General features: G+C 45.6%; 1 protein-coding gene across 3 annotated transcripts in view, besides 2 other annotated features; it reads right to left on the reverse strand.

The window, feature by feature from the left end:
- Positions 1 to 25,293, reverse strand: part of ANO2 (anoctamin 2) — a 383,578-nt gene that overhangs the window by 258,257 nt on the left and 100,028 nt on the right. For all 3 annotated transcript variants that reach the window (NM_001278597.3, NM_001364791.2, NM_001278596.3), the window contains 3 exons: positions 11,541 to 11,692; positions 9,524 to 9,578; positions 6,858 to 6,909 (listed from right to left, as the gene is read on the reverse strand). In NM_001278597.3, the coding sequence (NP_001265526.1) occupies positions 6,858 to 6,909; positions 9,524 to 9,578; positions 11,541 to 11,692 (259 nt within the window). The remainder of the gene's footprint in view (positions 1 to 6,857; positions 6,910 to 9,523; positions 9,579 to 11,540; positions 11,693 to 25,293) is intronic.
- Positions 6,347 to 7,125: an enhancer, noted in NCBI's record as "NANOG-H3K4me1 hESC enhancer chr12:5936424-5937202 (GRCh37/hg19 assembly coordinates)". NCBI's record gives its function as "activates a minimal SCP1, AML or CMV promoter by ChIP-STARR-seq in primed H9 embryonic stem cells {active_cell/tissue: H9 hESC(primed)}" and the evidence as "EXISTENCE:reporter gene assay evidence [ECO:0000049][PMID:30033119]".
- Positions 6,572 to 6,866: a silencer, noted in NCBI's record as "tiled region #1102; HepG2 Repressive non-DNase unmatched - State 24:Quies, and K562 Repressive non-DNase unmatched - State 24:Quies". NCBI's record gives its function as "represses a minimal TATA promoter and a strong SV40 promoter by Sharpr-MPRA in HepG2 and K562 cells {active_cell/tissue: HepG2 | K562}" and the evidence as "EXISTENCE:reporter gene assay evidence [ECO:0000049][PMID:27701403]".

Below are 25,293 nucleotides of genomic sequence, written 5' to 3' on the forward strand. Positions count from 1 at the left end.
ATGCCTTTTCCTCCATTCCTGTCCATTAGGCCCACCAGAAGCAATTTCCCTTCAGCTGGCAAGGCCATTAATACACTTTTACTGTCCTCCCTCAGGGTTATATCAACTCTCCAGCTTTGTGTCATAATCTTATTTGGAGAGACCTTGATCGTTTTTCGCTTCCACAAGATATCACACTGGTCCATTACATTGATGACATTATGCTGACTGGATCCAGTGAGCAAGAAGTAGCAAACACACCAGACTTATGGGTGAGACATTTGCATGCCAGGGGATGGGAAAAAAATCTGACTAAAATTCAGGGAACTTCTACCTCAGTAAAATTTCTAGGGGTCCAGTGCTGTGGGGCCTGTCAAGATATTCCTTCTAAGGTGAAGGATCAGCTGCTGCATTTAGCCCCTTTTACAACCAAGAAAGAGGCACAACACATAGTGGGCCTATTTGGATTTTGGAGGCAACACATTTCTCATTTGGATGTGTTACTCCGGCCCGTTTATCAAGTGATATGAAAGGCTGCCAGTTTTGAGTGGGATCCAGAATAGGAGAAGGCTCTGCAACAGGTCCAGGCTGCTGTGCAAGCTGTTCTGTCACTTGGGTCACATGACCCAGCAGATCCAATGGTGCTTGAGGTGTCAGTCACAGATAGGGATGCTGTTTGGAGCCTCTGGCAAGTGAATCACAGCGCAGGCCTCTAGGATATTGGAGCAAGGCCCTGCCATCTTCTGCAGATAACTGCTCTCCTTTTGAGAGACAGCTCTTGGCCTGTTACAGGACTTTGATGGAAACTGAACGTTTGACTATGGGTCATAAAGTCACCATGGCACCTGAACTGCCTATAATGAACTGGGTGCCTTCTGACCCATCTAACCATAAAGTGGGTCATGAACAGCAGCATTCCATCATCAAACGTAAGTGGTATATATGTGATTGGGCTCAAGCAGGTCCTGAAAGCACAAGTAAGTTACATGAGAAAGTGGCTCAAATGCTCATGGTCTTCATTCCTGCCACCCTGCCGTCTCTTCCCCAGTCTACACCAATGGTCTCGTGGGGAGCTCCCTATGATCAGTTGACAGAGGAAGAGAAGACTCAGGCCTGGTTCACAGATGGGTCTGCACAATACGCAGGCACCACCCAAAAGTGGACAGCTGCAGCAGCACTACAGCCCCTTTCTAGGACATCCCTAAGGACAGCAGTGAAGGGAAATCTTCCCAGTGGGCACTTCGAGTAGTGCACCTGGTTGTGCACTTTGCAAGCAAGGAGAAATGGCCAGATGTGCAATTATATACTGATTCACGGGCTGTAGCCAATGGTTTGGTTGGATGGTCAGGGACTTGGAAGAAGCATGATTGGAAAATTGGTGACAAACAAATCTGGGGAAGAGGTATGTAGATGGACCTCTCTGAGTGGTCAAAAACTGTGAAGATATTTGTATCCCATGTGAGTGTTCACCAGCGGGTGACCTCAGCAGTGGAGTGGACAGGATGACCTATTCTGTGGACACTACTCAACCTCTTTCCCCAGCCACCCCTGTCATTGCTCAATGGGCCCATGAACAAAGTGGCCATGGTGGCAGGGATGGAGGTTACACATGGGCTTAGCAACATGGACTTCCACTCACCAAGGCTGACCTGGCTACAGCCACTGCTGACTTCCCAATTTGCCAGCAGCAGAGACCAACACTGAGCCCTAAATATGGCACCATTCCTGGGGGTGATCAACCAGCTACATGATGGCAGGTTGATTATTTTGGACCTCTTCCATCATGGAAAGGGCAGAGGTTTGTCCTCACTAGAACAGACACTTACTCAGGGTATGGGTTTTCCTATCCTGTACGCAATGCTTCTGCCAAGACTACTGTATTAGTCCATTTTCACACTGCTGATAAAGATATACCTCAGACTGGGAAGAAAAAGAGGTTTAATTAGACTTACAGTTCCACATGGTTGGGGAGGCCCAAGAATCATGGAGGGAGGCACTTCTTACATGGCAGTGGCAAGAGGGCAAGAGAGAAAGAGGAAGAAGCAAAAGCAGAAACCCCTGATAAACCCATCAGATCTCATGAGACTTATTCACTATCATGAGAATAGCATGGGAAAGAACAGGCCCCATGATTCAATTACCCACCCTGTGTCCCTCCCACAACACATGGGAATTCTGGGAGATACAATTCAAGTTGAGATTTGCAGGGGGACACAGCCAAACCATATCATTCCACCTCTGGCTCTTCCAAATCTCATGTCCTCACATTTCAAAACCAATCATGCCTTCCCAACAGAGTCTTAACTCATTTCAGAATTAACCCAAAAGTCCACAATCATGCCTTCCCTCCAAAGTCTTAACTCATTTCAGAATTAACCCAAAAGTCCACAGTCCAAAGTCTCATCTGAGATAAGGCAAGTCCCTTCTGCCTATGAGCCTGTAAAATCAAAAGCATGCTAGTTACTTCCGAGATAAAATGGGGGTACAGGTATTTGGTAAATACAGCCATTCCACATGGGAGAAATTGACCAAAACAAAGGGGTTACAGGGCCAATGCACATCTGAAATCAAGCAGGGCAGTAAAATTTTAAAGCTCCAAAATGATCTCCTTTGACTCTGGGTCACGCTGATGCAAGATGTTGGTTCCCATGGTCTTGGGCAGCTGCACCCCTGTGGCTTTGCAGGGTACAGCCTCCCTCCTGGCTGCTTTCATGGACTGGCACTGAGTGTCTGCAGCTTTTCCAGGCACACAGCGCAAGCTGTCAGTGGATCTACTATTCTGGGTTCTGGAGGAGGGTGGCCCTCTTCTCATAGCTCCACTAGGCAGTGCCCCAGTAGGGACTCTGTGTGGAAGCTTCAACCCCACATTTCCCCTGCACACTGCCCTAGCAGAGGTTCTCCATGAGGGCCCCACCCCTGCAGCAAACTTTCGCCTGCACATCCAGGCGTTTCCATACATCTTCTGAAATCTAGGCAGAGGTTCCCAAACCTCAATTCTTGACTTCTGTGCACCTGCAGGCTCAACACTACATGGAAGCTGCCAAGGCTTGGGGCTTCCGTCCTCTGAAGCCACAGCCTGAGCTGTATGTTGGCCCCTTTCAGCCACAGCTGGAGCGGCTGGAACACAGGGCAGCAAGTCCCTAGGCTGCACACAACACAGGGACCCTGGGCCCAGCCCATGAAACCATTTTTTCCTCCTGGGCCTCTGGGTCTGTGATGGGAGAAGCTGCTGTGAAGGTCCCTGACATGGCCTGGAGACATTTTCCCCATGGTCTTGGGGATTAACATTAGGCTCCTTGCTACTTATGCAAATTTCTGCAGCCAGCTTGAATTTCTCCCCAGAAAAATGGGTTTTTCTTTTCTATCATATAGTCAGGCTGCAAATTTTCCAAACTTTTATGTTCTGCTTCCCTTATAAAACTGAATGCTTTTAACAGCACCCAAGTCGCCTCTTGAATGCTTTGCTGCTTAGAAATTTCTTCTGCCAGATACCCTAAACCATCTTTGTCAAGTTCATAGTTCTACTGATATCTAGGGCAGGGGCAAAATGCTACCAGTCTCTTTGCTAAAACATAACAAGAGTCACCTTCACACCAGTTCCCAACAAGTTCCTCCCCTCCATCTGAGACCACCTCAGCCTGGACCTTATTGTCCATATTGCTATCAGCATTTTGAGCAAAGCCATTCAACAAGTCTCTAGGAAGTTCCAAACTTTCCCACATTTTCCTTCTTCTGAGCCCTCCAAACTGTTCCAACCTCCACCTGTTACCCAGTTCCAATGTTGCTTCCACATTTTTGGGGTATCTTTTCAGCAATGCCCCACTCTATTGGTACCAATTTACTGTAATAGTCCATTTTCATGCTGCTGATAGAGACATACCCGAGACTGGGAAGAAAAAGGACTTACAGTTACACATGGCTGGGAGGCCTCAGAATCATGGTGGGAGGGGAAAGGCACTTCTTACATGGTGGCAGCAAGAGAGAATGAGGAAGAAGCAAAAGTGGAAACCCCTGATAAACCCATCAGATCTCGTGAGACTTATTCACTATCACAAGAATAGCATGGGAAAGAACAGCCCCCATGATTGAATTACCTCCCCCTGGGTACCTGCCACAACATGTGGAAATTCTGGGAGATACAATTCAAGTTGAGTTTTGGCAGGGGGACACAGCCAAACCATATCAACTACCATCCGTGGACTCATAGAATGTCTTATCCACTATCATGGTATTCCATACAGCATTGCATCTGACCAAGGCACTCACTTTACAGCTAAAGAAGTGTGGCAGTGGACTCATGCTCATGGAATTCACTGGTCTTACCATGTTCCCCATCATCCTGAAGCAGCTGGATTGACAGAATGGTGGAATGGCCTTTTGAAGTCACAATTGCAACACCAACTAGGTGACAATACTTTGCTGGGCTGGGACAAAGTTCCCCAGAAGGCCATGTATGCTCTGAATCACCATCCAATATATGGTACTGTTTCTCCCATAGCCAGGATTCACGGGTCCAAGAATCAAGGCACTGAAGTGGAAGTGGCACCACTCACCATCGCCCCTAGTGATCCACTAGCAAAATTTTTGCTTCCTGTTCCCACAGCATTACGTTCTGCTGGCCTAGAGATCTTAGTTTCAGAGGGAGGAATGCTGCCACCAGGAGACACAACAACAATTCCATTAAACTGGAAGTTAAGATTGCCACCTGGACACTTTGGGCTCCTCCTACCTTTAAGTCAACAGGCTAAGGAGGGAATTACAGTGTTGGCTGGGGTGATTGACCCAGACCATCAAGATGAAATCAGTCTACTACTCCACAACAGAGGTAAGGAAGAGTGTACATGCAATACAGGAGATTCGTTAGGGCATCTCTTAGTATTATCATGCCCTGTGATTAAGGTCAATGGGAAACCACAACAGCCCAATCCAGGCAGGAATACAAATGGCCCAGACCCCTCAGGAATGGTTTGGGTCACTCCACCAGGAAGAAAACCACGACCTGCTGAGGTGCTTCCTGAAGGCAAAGGGAATACAGAATGTTTAGTGAAGAAGGTAGTCATCAACACCAGCTACGACCACATGACCAGCTGCAGAAACGAGGACTGCCAATTGTCATGAGTATTTCCTTCTTTTGTTAAAAACATGTTTGTGCATGTATACACTTGCACTAAGAAATATCTTCATTTTATTTCCTTTTTCCTTTATCAAGTGACATAAGATTTATTGACCTCATATCAGCATTTAGGTATTGTTAACTTTATGTAATAGTATTTGGATTGGGGATGAGTGCATTTCCGGTTGTACGAAGGATAGTTGTATTACGTTAGGTGTAATTATGACCTTATTATTGCTTTTATTTGAAGATTATGTATGATCTCAGGAGATGTGTATGGGTTCAAGTTGACAATGGGTGGATTCGTGATGGTTAATACTGAGTGTCGACTTGATTGGACTGAAAGATGCAAACTATTGATCCTGGGTGTGTCTGAGAGGGTGTTGCCAAAGGAGATTAACATTTGAGTCGGTGGGCTAATGCTTAATAAACTCATATATATATATATATATATATATATATATATATATATATCCTTGATATGTATATATAAAATTTCTCTGTTTTTTAAGCTAATTCTCTCACCCACTTACTCAGCCTCGCCTCATCAGCACCGTGTTCCAGACAAATAACATAACATGGAAGGTCTGATTTTTAAAAAGTGCATTGTTATTTGGAATCTTGTAGCAAGATGAATATAGCAAAGCAAATTCAAGCAAACATAATTGCCCTGTTGAGAGGTTAAGCACTATTCTAAAAAGACTATCATGGCATAAAACCCATTCTGATTCCTTCTCCAGCACTGTGCCCTGGGTACCCAGGCAGCTTACAAGCCCCACAACACACTCTCAAATATTAGCTAGCTAACATCATCATTATCATTGTTATTCCTGAGCCTGATCACCTCCTCTATTCAGTAGACAGGACTCCAAATGACTCTGAACTCTTTTCAACCTAAAGCTGCCTCAAAAGCCAAAGATTTGCCATCCCAGAGCGCATTCTGAAGGCAGCTCTCCCAAAGCTGTCAGATGCCACTTGGAGATGGCAGCACCTTGGGAACAAGGGTTCAACATGCAAGAATGACTCCTGTGCAAAAGGTGTTTGTGCGTGACTTTTTGGCACATTTTTCGAAAAAGCAGTCTCATGGGGTTATGGGCACAGCTCACATTGTACCTGGGCCATCACAGATGTCTTCCACACAATCCGTCAGGATCTGGACTGCCTGCCTTATACTGCCTGCCTTATACTTGGTCCCAAATGCTTCCAAGACAATTACCCTAATATTTAAGAAACAAACCACAGGGCAAACAGATTCAGCCGGATATGGTGAGAAGAATGCTGAAGTTAGAAGAGGCTCACTCAGACTCAGCTATCACGTGCTGTGTGGGCTTAGGACAGTCATGACCCCTCTCTGGAGGTTCGTCTCTTCTTACATAATATGAGAAGGCTGGACTAAAGGACCTCTAAGACGCTTTTCTTGGGTTATTAGAAACTATTGGAAATGGTGAAAAACAGAGGAGCCGCAGAATTATCCGGATAAAGTGGCAGGTGTGGGCGGTACAGGGAAAAGAGAAAGAGAAAGCCCGGAGACCTGGGAGGAGGGCCTGGGAGAAGTTACAACAGCCTGGGGGCAGCCCCACTGAGAAATGGGACCCCCGCTGCTCCTGGGGCCAAGGCAGGCTTCTCAGCCCAAGCTAAGCAGCCTCTCCGTGGGGGGCATTTGCTTGTTTTGTTCTTTGCTGCCGACCAAGGGAGCTGTTGAAAGCACGGGGCGGGAGCCGCCTCAGCGCCCGTCAGCACCCTGCCCGCGGGCTGGGGTCCTTACCCATCGTGTTGTTGGCTCGGGAGCAGGCTGTGCGCTTCAGGATCTCGTGCACCTAAAAGGGGACGACAGCAGAGCTGTGAGCTCCTAGTTCCCCCCCGCCCTCCACCGTGTGTCACCCTCACCACTGCCTGGCAGGGGCGGGAGGCGCCCGGGCTCATTTGGAGCCAGGACGAAGCCAAGCATGTGCCTGGCTCATGGCCCGCACATCAACCCCACTCAGACTTGAGGACTTTGAGGAAACAAGGGATGTAAGGCCCGCGCACACATCCCCCGCCCCTTCGCCCCACCCTGAGAAAAACAAATGAATAAAAGGCTAGAAATGGACGGCAGTCACAGGAAGTAAGGAAAACAGAGGAGCCCACCCCAGACCACATAGCCTCGGGAGGGCTGGGAGGAAGCCCTGGGTCTGTGGAGTAGGGCACAGTGTCTGCCGCCCACGTCGGGGAACCTCAGGGAAGGCGGGGTTCTGTCTGGCGGGTCCCGGGGAGGGGCGGGCCCCCTCCCCCAGCCTGGAGCCCGGCTGACAGGGAGAGCCAGTGTGGTAGCAGAAAGCTCCGAACGTGGAGGTAGGTGCAGAGGGTCCTGAGCAAACGCCAAGAGGGTCAGCTTGCATCTGTAATGGGGCCATCTCGCCCACCTGCTCGGGGACGCCAGCCAGACCGTGCACAGGAAAGTGCTCTGCAACAGCAAAGGAGCTACCTCTATGTTGGTCATTGATGTCTTTATTTCTCTGGTTTTTTCCTGGGTCCTCATCTTGCCTCCCTGATCAGAGCATATCATACACTTCCTTGAAGATTCATGTCTTAGAGCACAGTCCTAGGCACACAGCAGCTGCCGACTCAGTGGCTTTGCCTGCCTGAAGCCCTACATGCCCAAAACAGCCTACAGAATCCCCTGGCCTATGGGGCCTGCAGGGGACTGTGTTTCTTACATGGGAGGAAAGGGGTGCTTCCCACAAAAGAATCAGGGAGGGACAAAGGTGGGTCAGTGTAAACCTGCTGGCCAACGAGTGACCTCCTGAGTTCCCAGCCTATGCCAGTCTATAAAGAGATGCCCAGCAATGAAGTCTGCTTTGCAACAAACAGCTGAGGTGCTCAGACACCCACAAAGAAGCAGGCACAGAGGAGACATCCACAGATGTGGGTGAGGTCCTCCAACCAAAGTCCAGGGCAGAATAGACCCCAGGAAAAAACTCAAGGCTCTTTTCCCCTGTTCTCAATGTGGGGTGGACTGAGGAAAGGAAGATGCTTCCAGAAGGAGAGATGAATGCTAGAAGAAGTGTTATTCCATCATTATTTACATTCCCATATTCCAGCCACAGCCTAAAGGGAGTGGTAAATAAATAACTACGGGGCCCAAGAGTGTTTAATTCTGCTCCTAATATAGTGCAGTAATTCAACAGCAATAATAATTAGGAACAGCACTTATATGGCATTGTATTATTTTACGAGTACTTTGCAATTATCGAGTAATCTCCACAACACCTTATAACTCCCCCACAGTCGTGGGACCCAAGCCACAGTGAGATTTAATTGGTTTGTAATAGCATCAACCAAGAAAATGGGACGTTAATGCCTTTTTCCATTGGAAAAAAAAAGAGATCTATGCCCATTTTAACTCTGCCTAAAACACTAGGCTAAGGGATCTGAGATGTCCTTGCCCATCCTGCAAGTAAGAGTTAACGCCATGTTTGCAGTGTGCCTGGGAAATAGCCTAGCCTCCTCTAATCACCTGTCCCTTCTTATTCATATATTTTCTTACCACCCTATTAGCTGGGAGATCCTTCTAGGTATCTAATCCTCATTCCTCCTGTGGAAACTTCAGTTCTTTGGTAAGGATCAATGGAAATGCACTTCCATACGTCCCATGTGGGCATGTGTAAGTTTCTGGCATTCCTTGGGCCCCTCTTTCTCTCTTCTGCCCATAGGCTATGTGACCTCTAGGGTGATAGAGAATAAACTGATCGGTGAATGAAGATGTTCTACAGCTCATGCAGAGGCCACAGAAACACAGGCCATATGCAGATTTTTATTAGAACCAATCATCCTACAAAATTCAAACACTTGACATGAAGGCAAAACGACTGTAGAAGAAGAGCTACGGTCACAAGCGTTGGCTTTCTATTGAATGGGCTGGTGATATTATTCTTGCGCAAATTGGCTAACTAGCATTCCTTGTTATAGAAATTCACATGACTCTGTCATGGGAGTTGAAAGAAGGGAAAATGCATAAACAAACACAGTGGCCCAACAATCAGAAGGACTAGTTCTAACGCTAACGATCCTTGTTCTGACGCTAACGATCTATATAATTTTTTTTCAATGCATTGCTTCTCAGAGCCTCAGTTTCCTCAATTGTAAATCAAGGGGTTCACCTAACTAACACCCGCACCAACTATGACCTTCTCTGTTTTTCTTTTTTTTCTAAGAAGAACTTTAATGGAGAACCCATAAAGAGAAGACGCTCCTCTTAAACCACGAGTGAGGGCAGTTATTTGCTGTTTCTTTTGGGGAATGGGGAAGCTCTTGCATACTCTTCTCTGTTGCTAGGCAACTCCAAGCAAATAACGGTGTGAGGTGGCAGGGAGGGTAAGAGAATGCCCTGCCAACTAGGAACTCAGCCCTTTCCCCATCCTCTTTCCTAACACAGTACATCCATTTACTTACAATGCGGCTGCGGGTGGCATTATCAAAGAAGGTGTCCTTTTCCTGGATGTTGTACCTGGAGACACCAAGAGAGCAGATGGCAAATTCATTTCATTACCCTTGCCCTGAGACCACTGCCACCCCAGACCCACAACAAATCTTTAGAAAGCAACATAGCAAGACTTATGAGGTGCACACACACACGATGTTTATGCCCTTCTTGACTCAGTAATTCTAAAAACGTATTCTAGAAATTTATCTTAGGGAAGAAACTCAACACAAGGAAAGAAAAATAACATAAATAAAAATGCTTATTGAAAAGGTATTTATAACAAAGATTATAGCAATAAGATGCAATGCCCAAATCTATAGGATAGGGTATCATGCAGTCATTGAAATTTATAATTATGAAAACTTTGTGTAAAGAAAAAGATTACACCATGTTAGAAAAATATTATATGATGATAAGGTTCCAAATGGAAAGTATGTAGAAAAGATACTGGTGCATGAACAAAGACAGTGAAAAATACAAAACAAAAAGGGTATCATTTCAGGGTGTTGGATTATCACTCTGATTCTTCAAAATTTGATTTAATGTCACTGTCATCTCATCCATTAGAAAAATCTTAATTATGCAAGGGCTGGGTCTGTTTTTAACTTCATATACTGAGCTTTCACTCAGAAAATAGCACATGGGGCATGTTTGTCATGCTGAGGAAGCTGTGCTAGAGGATGCACTGATGAAGGAAGGAAATACGCTCCCAGCACCCCAGGAGCCCCAGTCACTGGAAGGTACATTTCTCCAAGTAACTGACACAGAGTAGAACATAGTAACATGCAGACCATTGCTATGAAAGTTCAGAGGGTGAAGCGCGTGCTTCTGGTTGGGAAGAGCAGAATATCCTTCAAAAGGAAGGTGTTGATGAACCAGTCTTGAAGGACAACAGAAGTAAAACGAACGGAGGTGCATGTGAAGTGACCATTCAGATGCCAGCACCAGCATAAATGAAGGCCCAGGGAAGGGGATGCAGGGAAGCACCACAGGACACAGAAAGAGCAGCAAGCCACCAGTCACCATGCAAGGCCCAGCTCAGCCACTTAGGGCGGTATGACCCTGGATGGACCTAGACTTTGGTATCTATAATAGAAGATAGTTAGATCTGGCCCGCCACCACGCAAGGGGACATGAGGACTCAATGAGAGGGTAAATATATGCAAATGAAACAGCATATTCATGTGTGTAGGATAATATCAAACACAGCAGAGATGGATAGGAGATGGTCTCTTATGGACAGCAGAAACACTGCTCCACAACTTCCACCTCCTAAAATGAGAAGGTCCTTCTTTCTGTCCTCTCTGCCCTTCCATGCCCCGGCCTTTCCCTCTCTTGCTCCATTTTCTCATCACCCTCGATGGTTGTTTATTTTCTCCTTAGCTCCTAGAGCAAAGTTGATGCTTGGCGGCTGCATCTCCCACTTCCCAGCTGTGGCTCCCCCTTCCAAACGTTTCCAAGTGGCTATCTCTGTGAAGAGCTTTTATTCACTCTTCCTAGGCAGGGTGCAGGGACAGGGAAAGACCCCTGAGAGTCAATGAGTGTACAAGTAGGCAGCTGGAATCCAGAAACCCAGAAGCTTCATCCACCTTCTTTCTGGTTTATCATATCCTGTTGAAACCCTATTAGACTGGCAATTGGGCAGAAGGTTTTCCTACAGAAGATACACAGGTGTCTGACCACTTTCTCACACAGTTCCAAAGTTTATTGTTGGCTGCTCCCTGGTTTGCCCTCCATCCTGCAAAATGGTGAAATGGTGGATTTCCTGCTGGACAAGCACCCTTGGCTGTTTGGGACAATCTCACATGGGGAGGGGGTTCACAAAGCAGGCACAGGGACAATGTCACCATGAGAGCATGCTTCCTACTCTCTCTCCCAGGCACTGGGGCACCCACTTTGGGAGCCCCAGGGCTGAGTCATAGAACAGTATTCAATTTTCCTTCCTATCCCTTCCCACATCTCTGCTCCAGCAGCTTCAATACTCACAGGTACATCTTCTCCCTGGAGAATGGGTAGGAGAGGTTTTTCATCTTGTTGTTGCTGTGTTCTGGAACTCGGGGCTGCAGGTGCGAGCTCAGCTTCTGCAGAGCCGCGCTGAACTTCTTTGCAATGCTGCCTCCTGCTTTGATCTCGTACATCTATGAAAGGAAGAGCCACAGGTCTGAAAAGGGGGCCACTTCCAGCAGAGAGGAATGGCTTCACAAAAAAAAGCTGCATGGACACAGATTCCCAGAGGTGAACATTGGAGAGAGGAAGAGACTGGGAGAAACAAGAAGGAGGGCCTTTCCCTTTTCCCCAGTGCTCTCACAAGGACCTGGACTCCTGACTCCTCTCAATCCTTTGAGCTCATGGAGGTGAGCAGTGTAGAGAAATAAGTGAGGAGTACAAACTTTCTATATGACTCGATATCATCTTAGAAAAACTGCACACCTACAATGTGACCCTAGTAGGTGCTTGACACAAATTAACTCCAATGCTTACAGCAACCCTGCTGGGTAGGTAATACTATTTCCATATGATGAGGCAATTAAGGCTCAGAGAGGTGAGGCGAATTAACAAAGGCCACATAGATAGGAACTGGGTGACAGAGCTTGGATTTAACTCATGTCAACCTAATCCAAAGTCTATACTCTAAAACTGCGCCACGCTTCTATGTGATCATCCAGCATCCCGTTCTTTATGTTTTTCTTAGGAAATATCTGTGTTTAAATGAGTTTGCTTTCAAAGTATTAAACATTTAATGAGTACCTGCCTTGAGTAAGGCATAGATTTAGTACCAAGGTAATTGTTAATATTTATAGTGCATACTGTTTTTTTTATAATGCATAGCATGCTTTGCACACATTATAGCTTTGGATCTTTATAACCTGCAAATGGAGTCATTGAGACACAGAAGTTGTATTTCTCATAGCAAAGCTGTGATAAATTGATGATGGCCACAGATTTTTCACACATATTCTTTTAAGAGGTAGCATCTCTGTTCCCACCCCCCTTGAATCTGCATTGGATCTGTGGATGTTTAACCAGTGGAGTATAGCAGGAGTGATACTATGCCAGTTCCATCCTTTAGAACAGGGGTCCCCAATCCCCGGGGCCACAAACTGACCGGTACTGGTCCATGGCCTGTTAGGAACTGGACCACACAACAGGAGGTGCGTGGTGGGTGAGCAAGCATTACCGCCTGAGCTCTGCCTCTTGTCAGATCAGTGATGGCATTAGATTCTCATAGGAGCGTGAACCCTATTGTGAACTGCACATGTGAGGGATCTAGGTTGCGTGTTATTTATGAGAATCTAATGCCTGATGATCTGAAGTGGAACAGTTTCATCCTGAAACCATCCCTGCCACCACCACCCCTACCCTTGGTCCATGGAAATATTGTCTTCCGTGAAACCAGTCCCTGGTGCCAAAAAGGTTGGGGACCACTGCTTTAGAAGACAGGCAGCCTCAGCCTTGGTCCGCCTTATCCCTTGAAGCCCTGAATCACACCATAAGAAGTCTACGGAGGCGTCCTGAGAGTACCCAGTAAGGGAAAGGCACTCAGCTGAGCCCAGTCTTCCAGCTGCCCTGCCAAGCAGCAGGCATACAACTAAAGCCTTCCTGAACCCTCCCGTCCATCCCACCTCCAAGCTGGCTACCACCAAGTGACCCCAGTCAACACCACATGAAGCAGAATAATCACCCAGCCCAGCTCTGCCCAAGTTCCTGAACAAAAAATCATGAGATAAAATGAAATGACTGTTGCTTTAGGCTACTAAGTGTGGGCTAATCTGTCAGGCTGCAATAGACATCCAGAATAAGAGGCAACATCCAGACGCTCTGACTCAAAATCCTATTTCCTTCTCTACCATGATAGCTTCACGTTACTTCAATGCAGAGGGGCAGTAAGACTGGTATGAAATACTTGTCTTCATACTTGGGCACCTGAAATACTCACTAAGATAGGATGAGAAAATGCCACAAAAGATATATAAAGTACTTTGAGGGTTCAAAGAAAGGAGGCAGCACATTCAGTTGAGGAATTAGAAACATATTCGTTGAGGGAGTAGCATTTCAGTTGGATTTGGCAGAAGGGTAATCTTCTTCCATTACCATTTTGTTCTTTAATAAAATAATGATAAGTAAGGACAGGGCAAGAGCCTCCCCAGTCTAACAACTGAAACATAACCACAGTTTATTTAGTTCTTCTAAACCTTTTTCTATGCATTTTGATTTAATTTCAATTACAAAATTAACACAGTTCAGGTAAACGAACAAGCTTAAAACATTAAAGTATATTAACTAAACGTTAGGAGTTTCCTTTGACTTCCAACTCAATTCCCACCCTCCTCTCCAAAAGGAACCTCACTTAACCGTTTGGAATATATTTAATCCCTACTCTTTCCATATAGATAGAACTAGGTTCCTTCCTAAGCAACTGTGACCCTACTTCACATATTCCTCTATAATTTGCTTTTTTTTCATTTAGCATCATATCATAGATATCTTTCCAGGACAGTTTCCATACAGCTACTGTAATGGATGCGTAGTATTACACAGTAGACATGAATACTAATTTGTTTAGCCATTTCCCCAGTGACAGGCATTTATCTCATTTTATATATAAGTTTTATATCTTGTTTTGGTTCATATTTCTGTTAACATTCACTTATAAATAGTTTTGATTAATAAGGCTTAAACAGATACAGGAAAAGATATTCTAGGCAAACAAAAAAGTGGAAAGTTCAAGCTATGTTTAAGGAGGTTTACACGGGCTGGTTTGCTTGGACAAAGGGGTTCTGACGGGCAATAGTGACAATCTTCATGTGCAACAATCTTCTGTTGCCTTGTGCAGCAGATCTCCATGAAACTCAGTTGGGGCAAACTGAGATGAGTGCATGGAGATCTGCTACACAAGGCAGTGGAAGACACTGAACAGTGTGAACAGTGACAAAACCAGAGCTGTGAATTAAGAAGATAATCAAGTGAGTTGTGTAAGAAGACGAAGAGTAAGCCTGCCTTCCGAAACAAGGAGACTGTTGATTCTAGTAGCATATACGATTTACTAAGCATCTCCTGTGGGCCTGGCTTTCAATGTACTTTAGTGCTAATCTTAAAATATGTTGCAAAGCCAAGAGAGTTAAGTATCTCAGCCAAGATCACACAGATAGTGTAGACAAGCTAATAACCGATGGGGTTTAAAACCCCTGGCAAAGCCCGTGTTCTTGACTGCTTTACTCCACTGTTTGATTTGTAAAATGTGAGTTGTCATGGGAAAAGCAGTGTACAACTTACAATATTGCCTCTATTGTCGTAAGGTCTTGACCTTTCTACCAAACCTCTCCTTCACACACATTAGTCACTGCAATGCACAGAACTCACCTCTCAGGTGTCTCTGGCCTGGAGGGATGGAGACAGAAAGAAGACCACCTCACACTGTCACAGCACACCTCTTATAGGCCATTCAGTGCAGGTTCTGACCAGGCACCTGACCTGCACTGAGACTATGGAGTTCACCATACCATACCCACGTGTCTTTAAATGGCATGTGTGCGGTAATTAGTTTCAGAGTGGGAGGGAAGCTGATGGACTCTGTCCTCCAGATGCCTTTCAATGGCAGATTTGGACCAACCAGGACTATTCCTTTTCTGTCCACTCCTCTCCGTCTCCACCTCTGCTACCTAACCTAAACATCTTTTAGTAGTTTACAACAATAACTGGTCTATAACCAGTCTCTCCACATTTTCTCTTGCTAAGGGTTGCCAGATCGAACAAATAAAAATACAAGATGTCAAATTAAATGTGAATTTCAGATAAACAATGAATAATCTTTAGCATAATTAGGTCCCATGCAATATTTGCAACCTACTTAAAACTTTTTAAAAATACAGTTAAAACAATAAATTTTAAATGTAATTATATCCCATGTGGTATTTGGGACATATACTAACAAAGTATGCATTGTTTATCTGAAATTGAAATTTAACTAGGCATCCTGTGTTCTATCTGACATTTCTACTCTTGCCCACCTCCAATTCAGTCTCTACACTGGAGCCCAAGTGAGGTTTCTGAAGCAAAAATCTAATCTTCTTGCCTCCTCATTAAAAAGCCTTCAACAGTCACCCACTGCTCTTAGGAAAAAGACCAAAACTCTTAACACATCCCATGGAACCTGTAGAAGTCTCCATATTGACCTTTCCGTGTAGTTCCTGCTGACTGCACCCAGACACTGGCTGAGCTGGGCACATCTCGCCCCTATGGCTCCCACCTCACCACCCCCTACCCGCTGGCTCACCAAGCTCTGTTCACACTGAGGTCTCGTGTTATTGTCACTTCCTGGGAAAAAGCCTTTTTTGGCTTCCAAACAATGGCAAGTCCCACCTTCACTGTATTTCATAAGCCCTAATTCCTTTTTTTATAACACTTATCACAGTTGTAATTTTATACTTATTTGAGTGATTGATGAATGTCCAGCCATCCCTACCAAACCATAATCCCATGAGGACAGGATACTGTCCAAAATGTTCCCTATTGTTTTATGAATGAATGAATGAGAAATCTCTGGAGAACCAGCATTGATGACAGCAGTTGCTGTCACTGGAGGAGCCCAGACTGGGATCCAAACAGTCATAAGACAACTGGTCTGGTTTTGGTAGAAATAAACCAGGCTAGAGGTGAGCCAAAAGCCTAAGGCCTCTGATAGGCCAAAAGCCTCCCCCTCCTGCCCCTACCAAGTGCAAAGGCACCCAGGAGTGCAGCATCCACGGGGCCAGGAGTGCAGCAACCACGGGGCCAGGAGTGCAGCACCCACGGGGCCAGGAATGCCTGCATTTAGTTGATGCAGATTTCTTTTTTTTTTTTTTTTTTTATGATTCCTGCCTTTTTTTTTTTTTTTAAATTATACTTTAAGTTTTAGGGTACATGTGCACATTGTGCGTTAGTTACATATGTATACATGTGCCATGCTGGTGCGCTGCACCCACTAACTCGTCATCTAGCATTAGGTATATCTCCCGATGCTATCCCTCCCCCCTCCCCCCACCCCACAACAGTCCCCAGAGTGTGATGTTCCCTTTCCTGTGTCCATGTGATTCATTGTTCAATTCCCACCTATGAGTGAGAATATGCAGTGTTTGCTTTTTTGTTCTTGCGATAGTTTACTGAGAATGATGGTACATGACGAAATGAAGGCAGAAATAAAGATGTTCTTTGAAACCAACAAGAACAAAGACACAACATACCAGAATCTCTGGGACGCATTCAAAGCAGTGTGTAGAGGGAAATTTATAGCACTAAATGCCCACAAGAGAAAGCAGGAAAGATCCAAAATTGACACCCTAACATCACAATTAAAAGAACTAGAAAAGGAAGAGCAAACACATTCAGAAGCTAGCAGAAGGCAAGAAATAACTAAAATCAGAGCAGAACTGAAGGAAATAGAGACACAAAAAACCCTTCAAAAAATTAATGAATCCAGGAGCTGGTTTTTTGAAAGGATCAACAAAATTGATAGACCGCTAGCAAGACTAATAAAGAAAAAAAGAGAGAAGAATCAAATAGACGCAATAAAAAATGATAAAGGGGATATCACCACCGATCCCACAGAAGTTGATGCAGATTTCTAACCCATCAATTGTTTCAGGGTCTGGCTCTGGCAGACGTTCAGCTGAGAACCTCCAGGCAGTTCCTGAGCCTCACCTTGGCAATAGATCTGCTAGGGCTCACCTAGAGAAACGGGCTAAAGGGAGTGGGCTCCCACGCTGTTTTTACTGGGACCAGGAGTGGGACTGGGGTAAGTTTCAACTGTTTCTTGATGGAGGATGCTCCATATCACTGAAAGGAATATTGTTGGCTGCCTTCAAGAGTGTGGAAGGCCAGAGTCCCACCAGAAACCTCATGGTAACATCAACTGCATAGCCCTGAACAAGACCCTACACAAACATCCCCAGGCTGAAACACCACAGCAGACTTGTGTTGGAAGAAATTTCCAGACTTCAGGGACTCTGTCGGGGGATGGAGCAGGTTCATATCCACAATAAAACACACATAGGTCTCCCCCGTAGTACACACCATACACACTGGTCTTGAGGCGAGGGACCTGCTTCCTGTCTCCGAGCTGTTGTGTGTGTTACCTGTTCCTGAGACTTCTTCCCTCCTCTCCCGCCTGGATGACTCCTGCCTCTCCTTCACCGCAAGGCTCATGTGCCAACCCTCCCAGGAGCCCTTCCTTGCCCTCTCACTTCCTTCCATGCTTCCTTGGTACCCTGTGGATGAATACCCGCCTCATAAAATACATTGTGGTTTGCTTTCCTTGACTTAAGCATCTGTCTCAAATTCTCAGTTGATTTGTCTGTCTGCCCAACAAACCATGGACTTACGGAGAGCAGGGACCCTGCCTGTGTGCTGGCACACAGTGGGGACAGGAGGCTGCCTCTTTGCTGACACCAATGAGATGTGCAGCTTTGAGCAAGTCATACCCTTCTCCCAGCTTCTTCATCTCCGAAGGGAAAACAAGGGAAACTCTACTTCCTACCATGATGGAGTAACAGGGACCCATTTACTCTCCTGCCTAAAACAACCAAAACACCCAAACAAAATACATGAAATAATGATTTTCAAGATACTGGACATCAGGCAATGAAAGGCAGTGATCCCTGAGAGATGGGAGACAGACAAGGGGAGCCCTGTGAGTCCAGCTCGCTGCCTTGGGAGAGGAGGGGAGAGAGGTGGAGCCCAAGAAACTCCCTGAGTTGAGAAGACTGAGCTCTAAGTCTGGGGAGAGCAAGACAACTAGAGTTCACAGGACAGAGCACCCCAGAGAGCTACAGAAGGTCCCCTGTGAGTATTTAGCCCATGAGTGTGAGGAAAGTACCCAAGACTGGAGAGAGAACTGTCTGAAAGGGAACAGCACTTATGCCCACCAGCTGTACAGGAAAATTCCCTGATTCACAGGGCACTGGGTAGTGTGCTCAGATGACTCGGCAATGGAGGATAATCTGCCTTAGACTGAGCGCTACTCCAGACTCACCTAACAAATTATAAAAGAGAGAACTGGACTAAATACTTTAAAAAGTATTGTCCAAGGCTACCACTCCATGGCTCTGAACATTTAATGAAAAAGAAACATTCATTCATGGCACAAGCATCTCTGGGTACCTCCTAGATGTCCAGTCCTGAGCTTGGTGGTTGATTGTGGTAAGCCCTGGAGAAACACAAGGATGATAACAAACCCTTCCATGTATGGAATGTTTTGCAGTGTACCCAGCACTTCCCTGAGCATCATTTCATCCACGGTCCATACAAACTCTGTCAGGTGTGCCTGCCAGGTAGGATTAGCATCTCTACCTTATAGATGAGAACACTGAGACTCAGAGGGGCTGGGAATGGCCACAGTCAGTGGTAAAATCATGCCAGGAGCCCAGGCTTCCTGCCTTCCCCTTCTGGAGCCCTTTACTTCAACCTAACATCCTTTGATCCTTGGCTGGGCTCCATGGACTGCCCCTGAGAAGAAAGTAGGCTGTAGTGCCCCTTTCCACCCTGGCCAAACCCAGCAGCCCAGGCTCTCCTCTTTACTTCGGCAGGATTCAGGAAAGACACCCCAATCCTCTTTATTATTATTAATACAATCAGCAGTGGCATCATTATTACTGTCATTCTTGGATATCAGAGAATTATGAACAACCTCAGAAATGGCGAGACACATGTTAGCCAGCTGTTCCCCATTATGCCCTCCCTGGGTACATGATACGCCTTTCATGTGCTTAAAATCATAAATAATTTTTAAAATATGTTGCTGTTATTTTTTATTCCAGGGCTCAAATGTGGTTCTCATAAAAGCTCACTTGGGCCTCACTGTTACAGTCTAAGGGGTTTACTGTCTTTTCTTACTTCTTTTTTCCTTCTTGTCTCCCTCAGCCTCTCCTCTGCAGAGGGGCACAGCAGTGTGGTCTGAGGGCTGATTTGTTTCCTTTTTATATTAAAATCATGTGCTTTCCTGGGGTGCGGGGAATGAAGCTGCATATATTGGACAGTATACAAGGCACTGTCCCCATTTTACAGATTAAAAAACACTGAGGCACAGAAAGTTTTACTAACATGCCCAAGGTGCACAAACATTGGGAGATCCAATGACCCCGAAGATCAAGGAAAAGGTCTAACAGTATAAGATAAAAACAACATAATCTTAATGACCCATGAGTCACTAATATCTGCAGAGGCCTAAGAGTGTCTCTCCCAGCAACAGGCAGGAAAGGTCACCCAGGAGGAATGCAGACCAGACCTAAGAACAGAACGTGTGCTGCAGCTGGGAGCACACGTGTTGACAGAAATTAACACCCATCGTCCGCCTCTTTTTATTTATTGATGCTTTCCTCTGCTCCTCCTCCAGTCGCTGGATCATCGAAGTTCCATAGTTATTACTTATGGTATCTCACTCATCTTGAGAGGTAGGGCTGGGCTGAAGACGATCATTATACCTTTCTACTCACCCTAAAGGCTCAGACACACAGAGAAGCCGAACAATAGGAAAGGGGTGCAAGTCACCAGCTGGGCAAGGATGGAAGATTCTGGAGCTGAAGAAGGGAGGAGCAAGAGAAGCCAAAAATGCCATGGAGTTCACCCACTGCTCTCCCCGCCAGGTGGTGCCTGCGAGAGGCACACAGGCACACGCTGAGCCAGGACCTGAGGGGTTCCATGCTGCTGAAATCTGTCCCTGCTCGCTTGCTGCACATTCACGCATGCAAGAGAGCATTAAGCCTTTCAGCGATCAAAAGGGAAACAGCGCCAGGAGCAGCCAAGGTCAGCTACAACCTGGAGCCAAAGGAAGACTTTCTCTGTGCACACCAAGAACAGCGAGAACAGGGGCTGCCCATTCCCCTCCACCCCACCTGTGTCCACAGGTAAGTTTCCCCTCAGCAACAACACTGAGTGTAGACAGACAGTGATACACTTACACAATGCACATTCTCTAGTGTCTAGTTCTGTATTTGTTTATGGTTTTTGATTCTGTTGTCAGTAGGTCCTCTACACATGAATGAATGTTTGCTGACTTATAAAAGTTGGGATTAAAACCAAACTTTTAAAATTACATGGCTGACAAGGCCTCTTAGGCGCCATGCCTGCTGCCTCCCTCGGCAGCCTCAGCCCCTGCCCCTCTCTCTGAGCTGCTCCCACCCTGGCTCCCCTTGGTTCCACACGCAGTCCAGGGTTTTCTTACCTTGGGGCCTGTGGGCATGTCCTTCCCTCTTCTGGAAGGTTCTCACCTGATCTTCCCACCCACAGACTCCTACCCAGTGCTCACATTTCAGCTTAAATGGCGTCTTCTCTTCCTCTCCCCCACTTTCATCTAAATGATTCTCCTCTGGTTGGCTCTCTTGTCATAACCCAGTCTTTTTCTTCTGTTGGTGCCTCCTAATTTATTTTACTTTTTATTTTTTATTTTTTTGAGACAAGATCTCACTCTGTCACCCAGGCTGGAGTGCAGTAGTATGATTATAGCTCGCTGCAGCCTCAACCTCCTGGGCTCAAGTGATTTTCCCACCTCGGCCTCCTGAGTTGCTGGGACCACAGGTGCATGCCACCATACCCAGCTAACTTCTTAAATTTTTTTTAGTTTTAGTAGAGATGAGGTCTTGCTTTGTTGGCCAGGTTGGTCTTGAACTCCTGGCCTCAAGTGATCCTCCTGCCTTTGCCTCCCAAAGTGCTGGGATTACAGGTGTAAGCCACCATGGCCAGCCTTGCCTCCCAATTTATAACTAGCCATACAACATCTGAATCCTCCCCACACCAGTGGGGCCAGGGAACAGTTATTAGCACCACTATATCACCAGCCCTCAGCAAAGTACCTGGTGTATGGTAATACTCAATAAATATTCATTGGATGGTCGGAGGGGTGGATGGAAAACGTAACTTTCCACAGGATCTCTTACACACAGTCTGTCCCCATTAACTGAAGGAGTCCTTTAGCAAAGGACGCAGATCAGGGCAGCTATAATGCTACATGTGCCACCATGATGCCCTGCCCTTTTCTCGCAGGCAGCCCTCAGGGAGCACAGGATTCCTGCCTATTGCCCTTGGATGGAGCCTCCGAATCCATCTCAGCATCACCCTCCAGCACGCCACCACCACTGGGTGAGATCTGGTGTGCATGACTCACTCTTTCGTTCGCTACCAGCATTTATTTAGTGCCTGCTGTACACCAGGCACTGTTGTGGGTGCTGCTGATAAAACGGTTTAGATTAACTTGCTATTGTAACACATTTTCATATTTTTAACGTCACTGTTTCTGGGCCCTGAGTCACACTTGTCCACTGAAAGGCCTCCACGTAGTCAACCGGGCCTGGGGTCTTCCCAGGCTCATACGCACATCCGCCACACGGCCGTGACCATCTCAGGTTCCTCACAGGAACTGCAGCACTTAGGTACCACCAATTATTTTTTCTTATTTTTGACAGTGAGAAGCATTACAGAAAACAAAATGAATAAAAAGCATTCTGCACTCTTTCCAGTCTATTTAAACAGCAATCAAAGCAATCAAAGAGCATGCACTGAAAAGCCCATAAAGGTATTAAATATAAACCCTACCCTCCCAGCTGTCCCTCTATTGAAAACAAATGTTAGAGAACAGGTAATGACAGCAAGAGAAAGACCCCACCTATAGCCAACCAACCCTATGTAAACGGCATCAGTTCTAGCTCATTTAAAAAGTTACTGACAATAATAATAACAAGAATCTGTCCAGAAAGTCATGTTGAAGACTGAGTTGGCAGCGAACCTCCTTCCCACGACCGAGGATCTGCAAGTTCTCCATCCTTAATAAAACTCAGGCCAGGCGCGGTGGCTCACACCTGTAATCCCAGAACTTTGGGAGGCCAAGGTGGGCGGATCACTTGCGGTCAGGAGTTTGAGACCAGCCTGGCCAACATGGTGAAACCCTGTCTCTAGTAAAAATACAAAAATGAGCCAGGCATAGTGGCGCACACCTATAATCCCAGCTACTTGGGAGGCTGCGGTATGAGAATTGCTTGAACCTGAGCGACAGAGTTTGCAGTGAGCCGAGATTGCGCCACTGCACTCCAGCCTGGGTGACAGAGCGAGATTCCATCTCAAAAAAAAAATAAAATAAAATAAAATAAATAAACAACAACAAACTCAGAGAATTTCTCCTGATTTTTCTTTCTGGATGTACTGAACTATCAAAAACAGTTCCGATAAAGGAAGGAGTTGGTCAGGGTGAGGAGGGAACGCGGGGCAATTCCTGTTGCCGAATTTCATAGGGCCAGTGTACAGCTGTGAGCTGAAACATCTCTTATCATCCTGAGCGACTCTGCTAGGGATCACAACCCAAACAAGATGCTGGGCAGAGGAAGCATCAATGGGTTAATCAACCTGGTGTTTATTGAGCAAATATTGTTTGAGGAACACCATACTAGAGTTTGCAGGGAACACGTAAGAGATATAAACCATAGTACTTGCTCTCAGGGGGCTTATGATATATTTGGAAACACAAGAGTTAGGACCTGAAGCAGCTGAAGAAAAACTAACAGGTAAGATAAATACTGACTGTTGACTAAGAGTCCGGAAAAGGTAATATCAGCTCGGGCTGAAGGAATAAAGAAAGGTCTATGAAGGAGGTGAGATTTAGGCTGGGCAGCAAAGGATGAGTAGTATATGTTTATTCAGACAGGAATGGGCAGAATATTCTAGGACTAAGGACAAATACTTAAAGCATTTGGAAAGGCTCCAGCCCATGGAGGAAAGAGTAAAGTACTCTGCTTGGACGAGAGTCTAAATCAGGGAGCTCCATCTAGGCTACACAGAGAGGTGTGGTTTGGAGAAGAGCAGTCCAGCATGGGTAAACCCAGAGAAAGCCCGGTGACATTACCAGGCTTGGGGACACAGGGCAGTTTCAGAATAGGCACCACAGGCAAAGTGTACTACTGTATTTAGAGCAAAGCTTGAAGAGGTGACAGACGTACGACACTTTTACTCTTAGATATCTGTGAACAATCAGAATGTAACTGACCCCAAAAGGTAACTGTCCTAAGGCCCCTCAGCCAACATCAATAACAGAGGAAAAAATACATTCACAAATTGTCATTTGCTTTACATGTAGACCACAGCATTTTAAAGCTATGGTAGATAATTCAGGAGCTAATCTTCTTACTGTACGGGTGAGAAAGCTGTCATCCAGGAATGTGGAATAACTCACTGAGCAAGACAATATCATTTTTAAAAATGACCATTGAAATCTGTTGCCTCTCCCAGACCAGGATTCTTTAATCTAGGATGGAATTCCCCAGAGTATGTTCTGCAGAACATTGGTTCCTCAGGATATTCATAGGTGTTCAAGTGTTCAGCAGAAAAAGGCCTGAAAAAAATTGAACCAGTTTTTGTGTGTTTGTTTGTTTGTTTGTTTGTTTGTTTGTTTTTACTACAAGGCTTCTCAAAACTTTGACTGTCCTGGTAAATTGTAATCATTAGTGTTTTCTGAATTTGTTCAACCATGAAATTTTTTTTTTTTTTTTTTTAGTAAAACCAAAGACTAGGCTGGGCATGGCACCTCACAGCTGTAATCCCAGCACTTTGGGAGGCAGAGGTGGGTGGATAACTTGAGCCCAGGAGTTCGAGACCAGCCTGGGCAACATGGGGGAAACCCCGTCTCTACCAAAAATTAGCCAGGCATGGAGGTGTGTGCCTATAGTCCCAGCTACTCAGGAGGCTGAGGTGGGAGAAACACCTGAGCCCAGGAAGTCAAGGTTGCAATAAACCGTGACTGTACCACTGCACTCCAGCCTGGGCAAGACTTTTTTGAAACTTTGTCTCAAAAAAGAAAAAAAAAATGGCCTGGCACTGTGGCTCACGCCTGTAATCCCAGAACTTTGGGAGGCCGAGGCAGTTGGATCACAAGGTCAGGAGACCGAGACCATCCTGTCTAACACGGTGAAACTCCATCTCTACTAAAAATACAAAAAATTAGCTGGGCGTGGTGGCAGGCACCTGTAGTCCCAGCTACTCAGGAGGCTGAGGCCGGAGAATGGCATCAACTCAGGAGGCGGAGCTTGCAGTGAGCCGAGATCGCTCCACTGCACTCCAGCCTGGGCGACAGAGTAAGACTACATCTCAAAAAAAAAAAAAAAAAAAATCCAAAAGAAGAACAAAGACTTTCATTCTAAAAAATATACTTTGAGAAATGCCATTCTAGACCACACTATCCACTACCTCAAGTCCAGTTATGGATTTTTCAGTAAAGTGAGAGAGCAGGAGCGTGGCTTTGGAGTCAGACAGACATGATTTTGAGTCCCTGACTATCTCCTTCAAGGTGTGTGCCCTTGGATAAGTTTATTAACCTCTCTGAGTTTCAATTTTCTCATCTATAAAATGAAGCTAACGGTCATATCTACCTCATGTCGTTGTTGTGAAGGTGAAAACAAATCACGTACATAAGGCTCTTACGAAATGGTCTAGCACATGGGATGCAGTATTAACTATATTTAAAACTCAATTAATTTATTTATCAACTTATACTTATAAGACTTTTGATCTCAAGATAATTTGTTTTGAGTGGCATAATTCAAAGCGGTTTTATGAATCTTTTTCCTCAAAGTCAAATGTAAGAATTATGAAATATGGACAAGCTTTAAAAGATGCTAATATCCTTCTTTGCAGACACCTCTTACTGAGGCAGAAGCTGTTACTTAAGCCAATTACTGTATTTGGATATAGAAGTATAAATAGGAAAATAATTCTTGAGTGGAGTAAG

Source organism: Homo sapiens, chromosome 12 (genome assembly GCF_000001405.40).
Source record: "Homo sapiens chromosome 12, GRCh38.p14 Primary Assembly".
Taxonomy (NCBI): domain Eukaryota; kingdom Metazoa; phylum Chordata; class Mammalia; order Primates; family Hominidae; genus Homo; species Homo sapiens.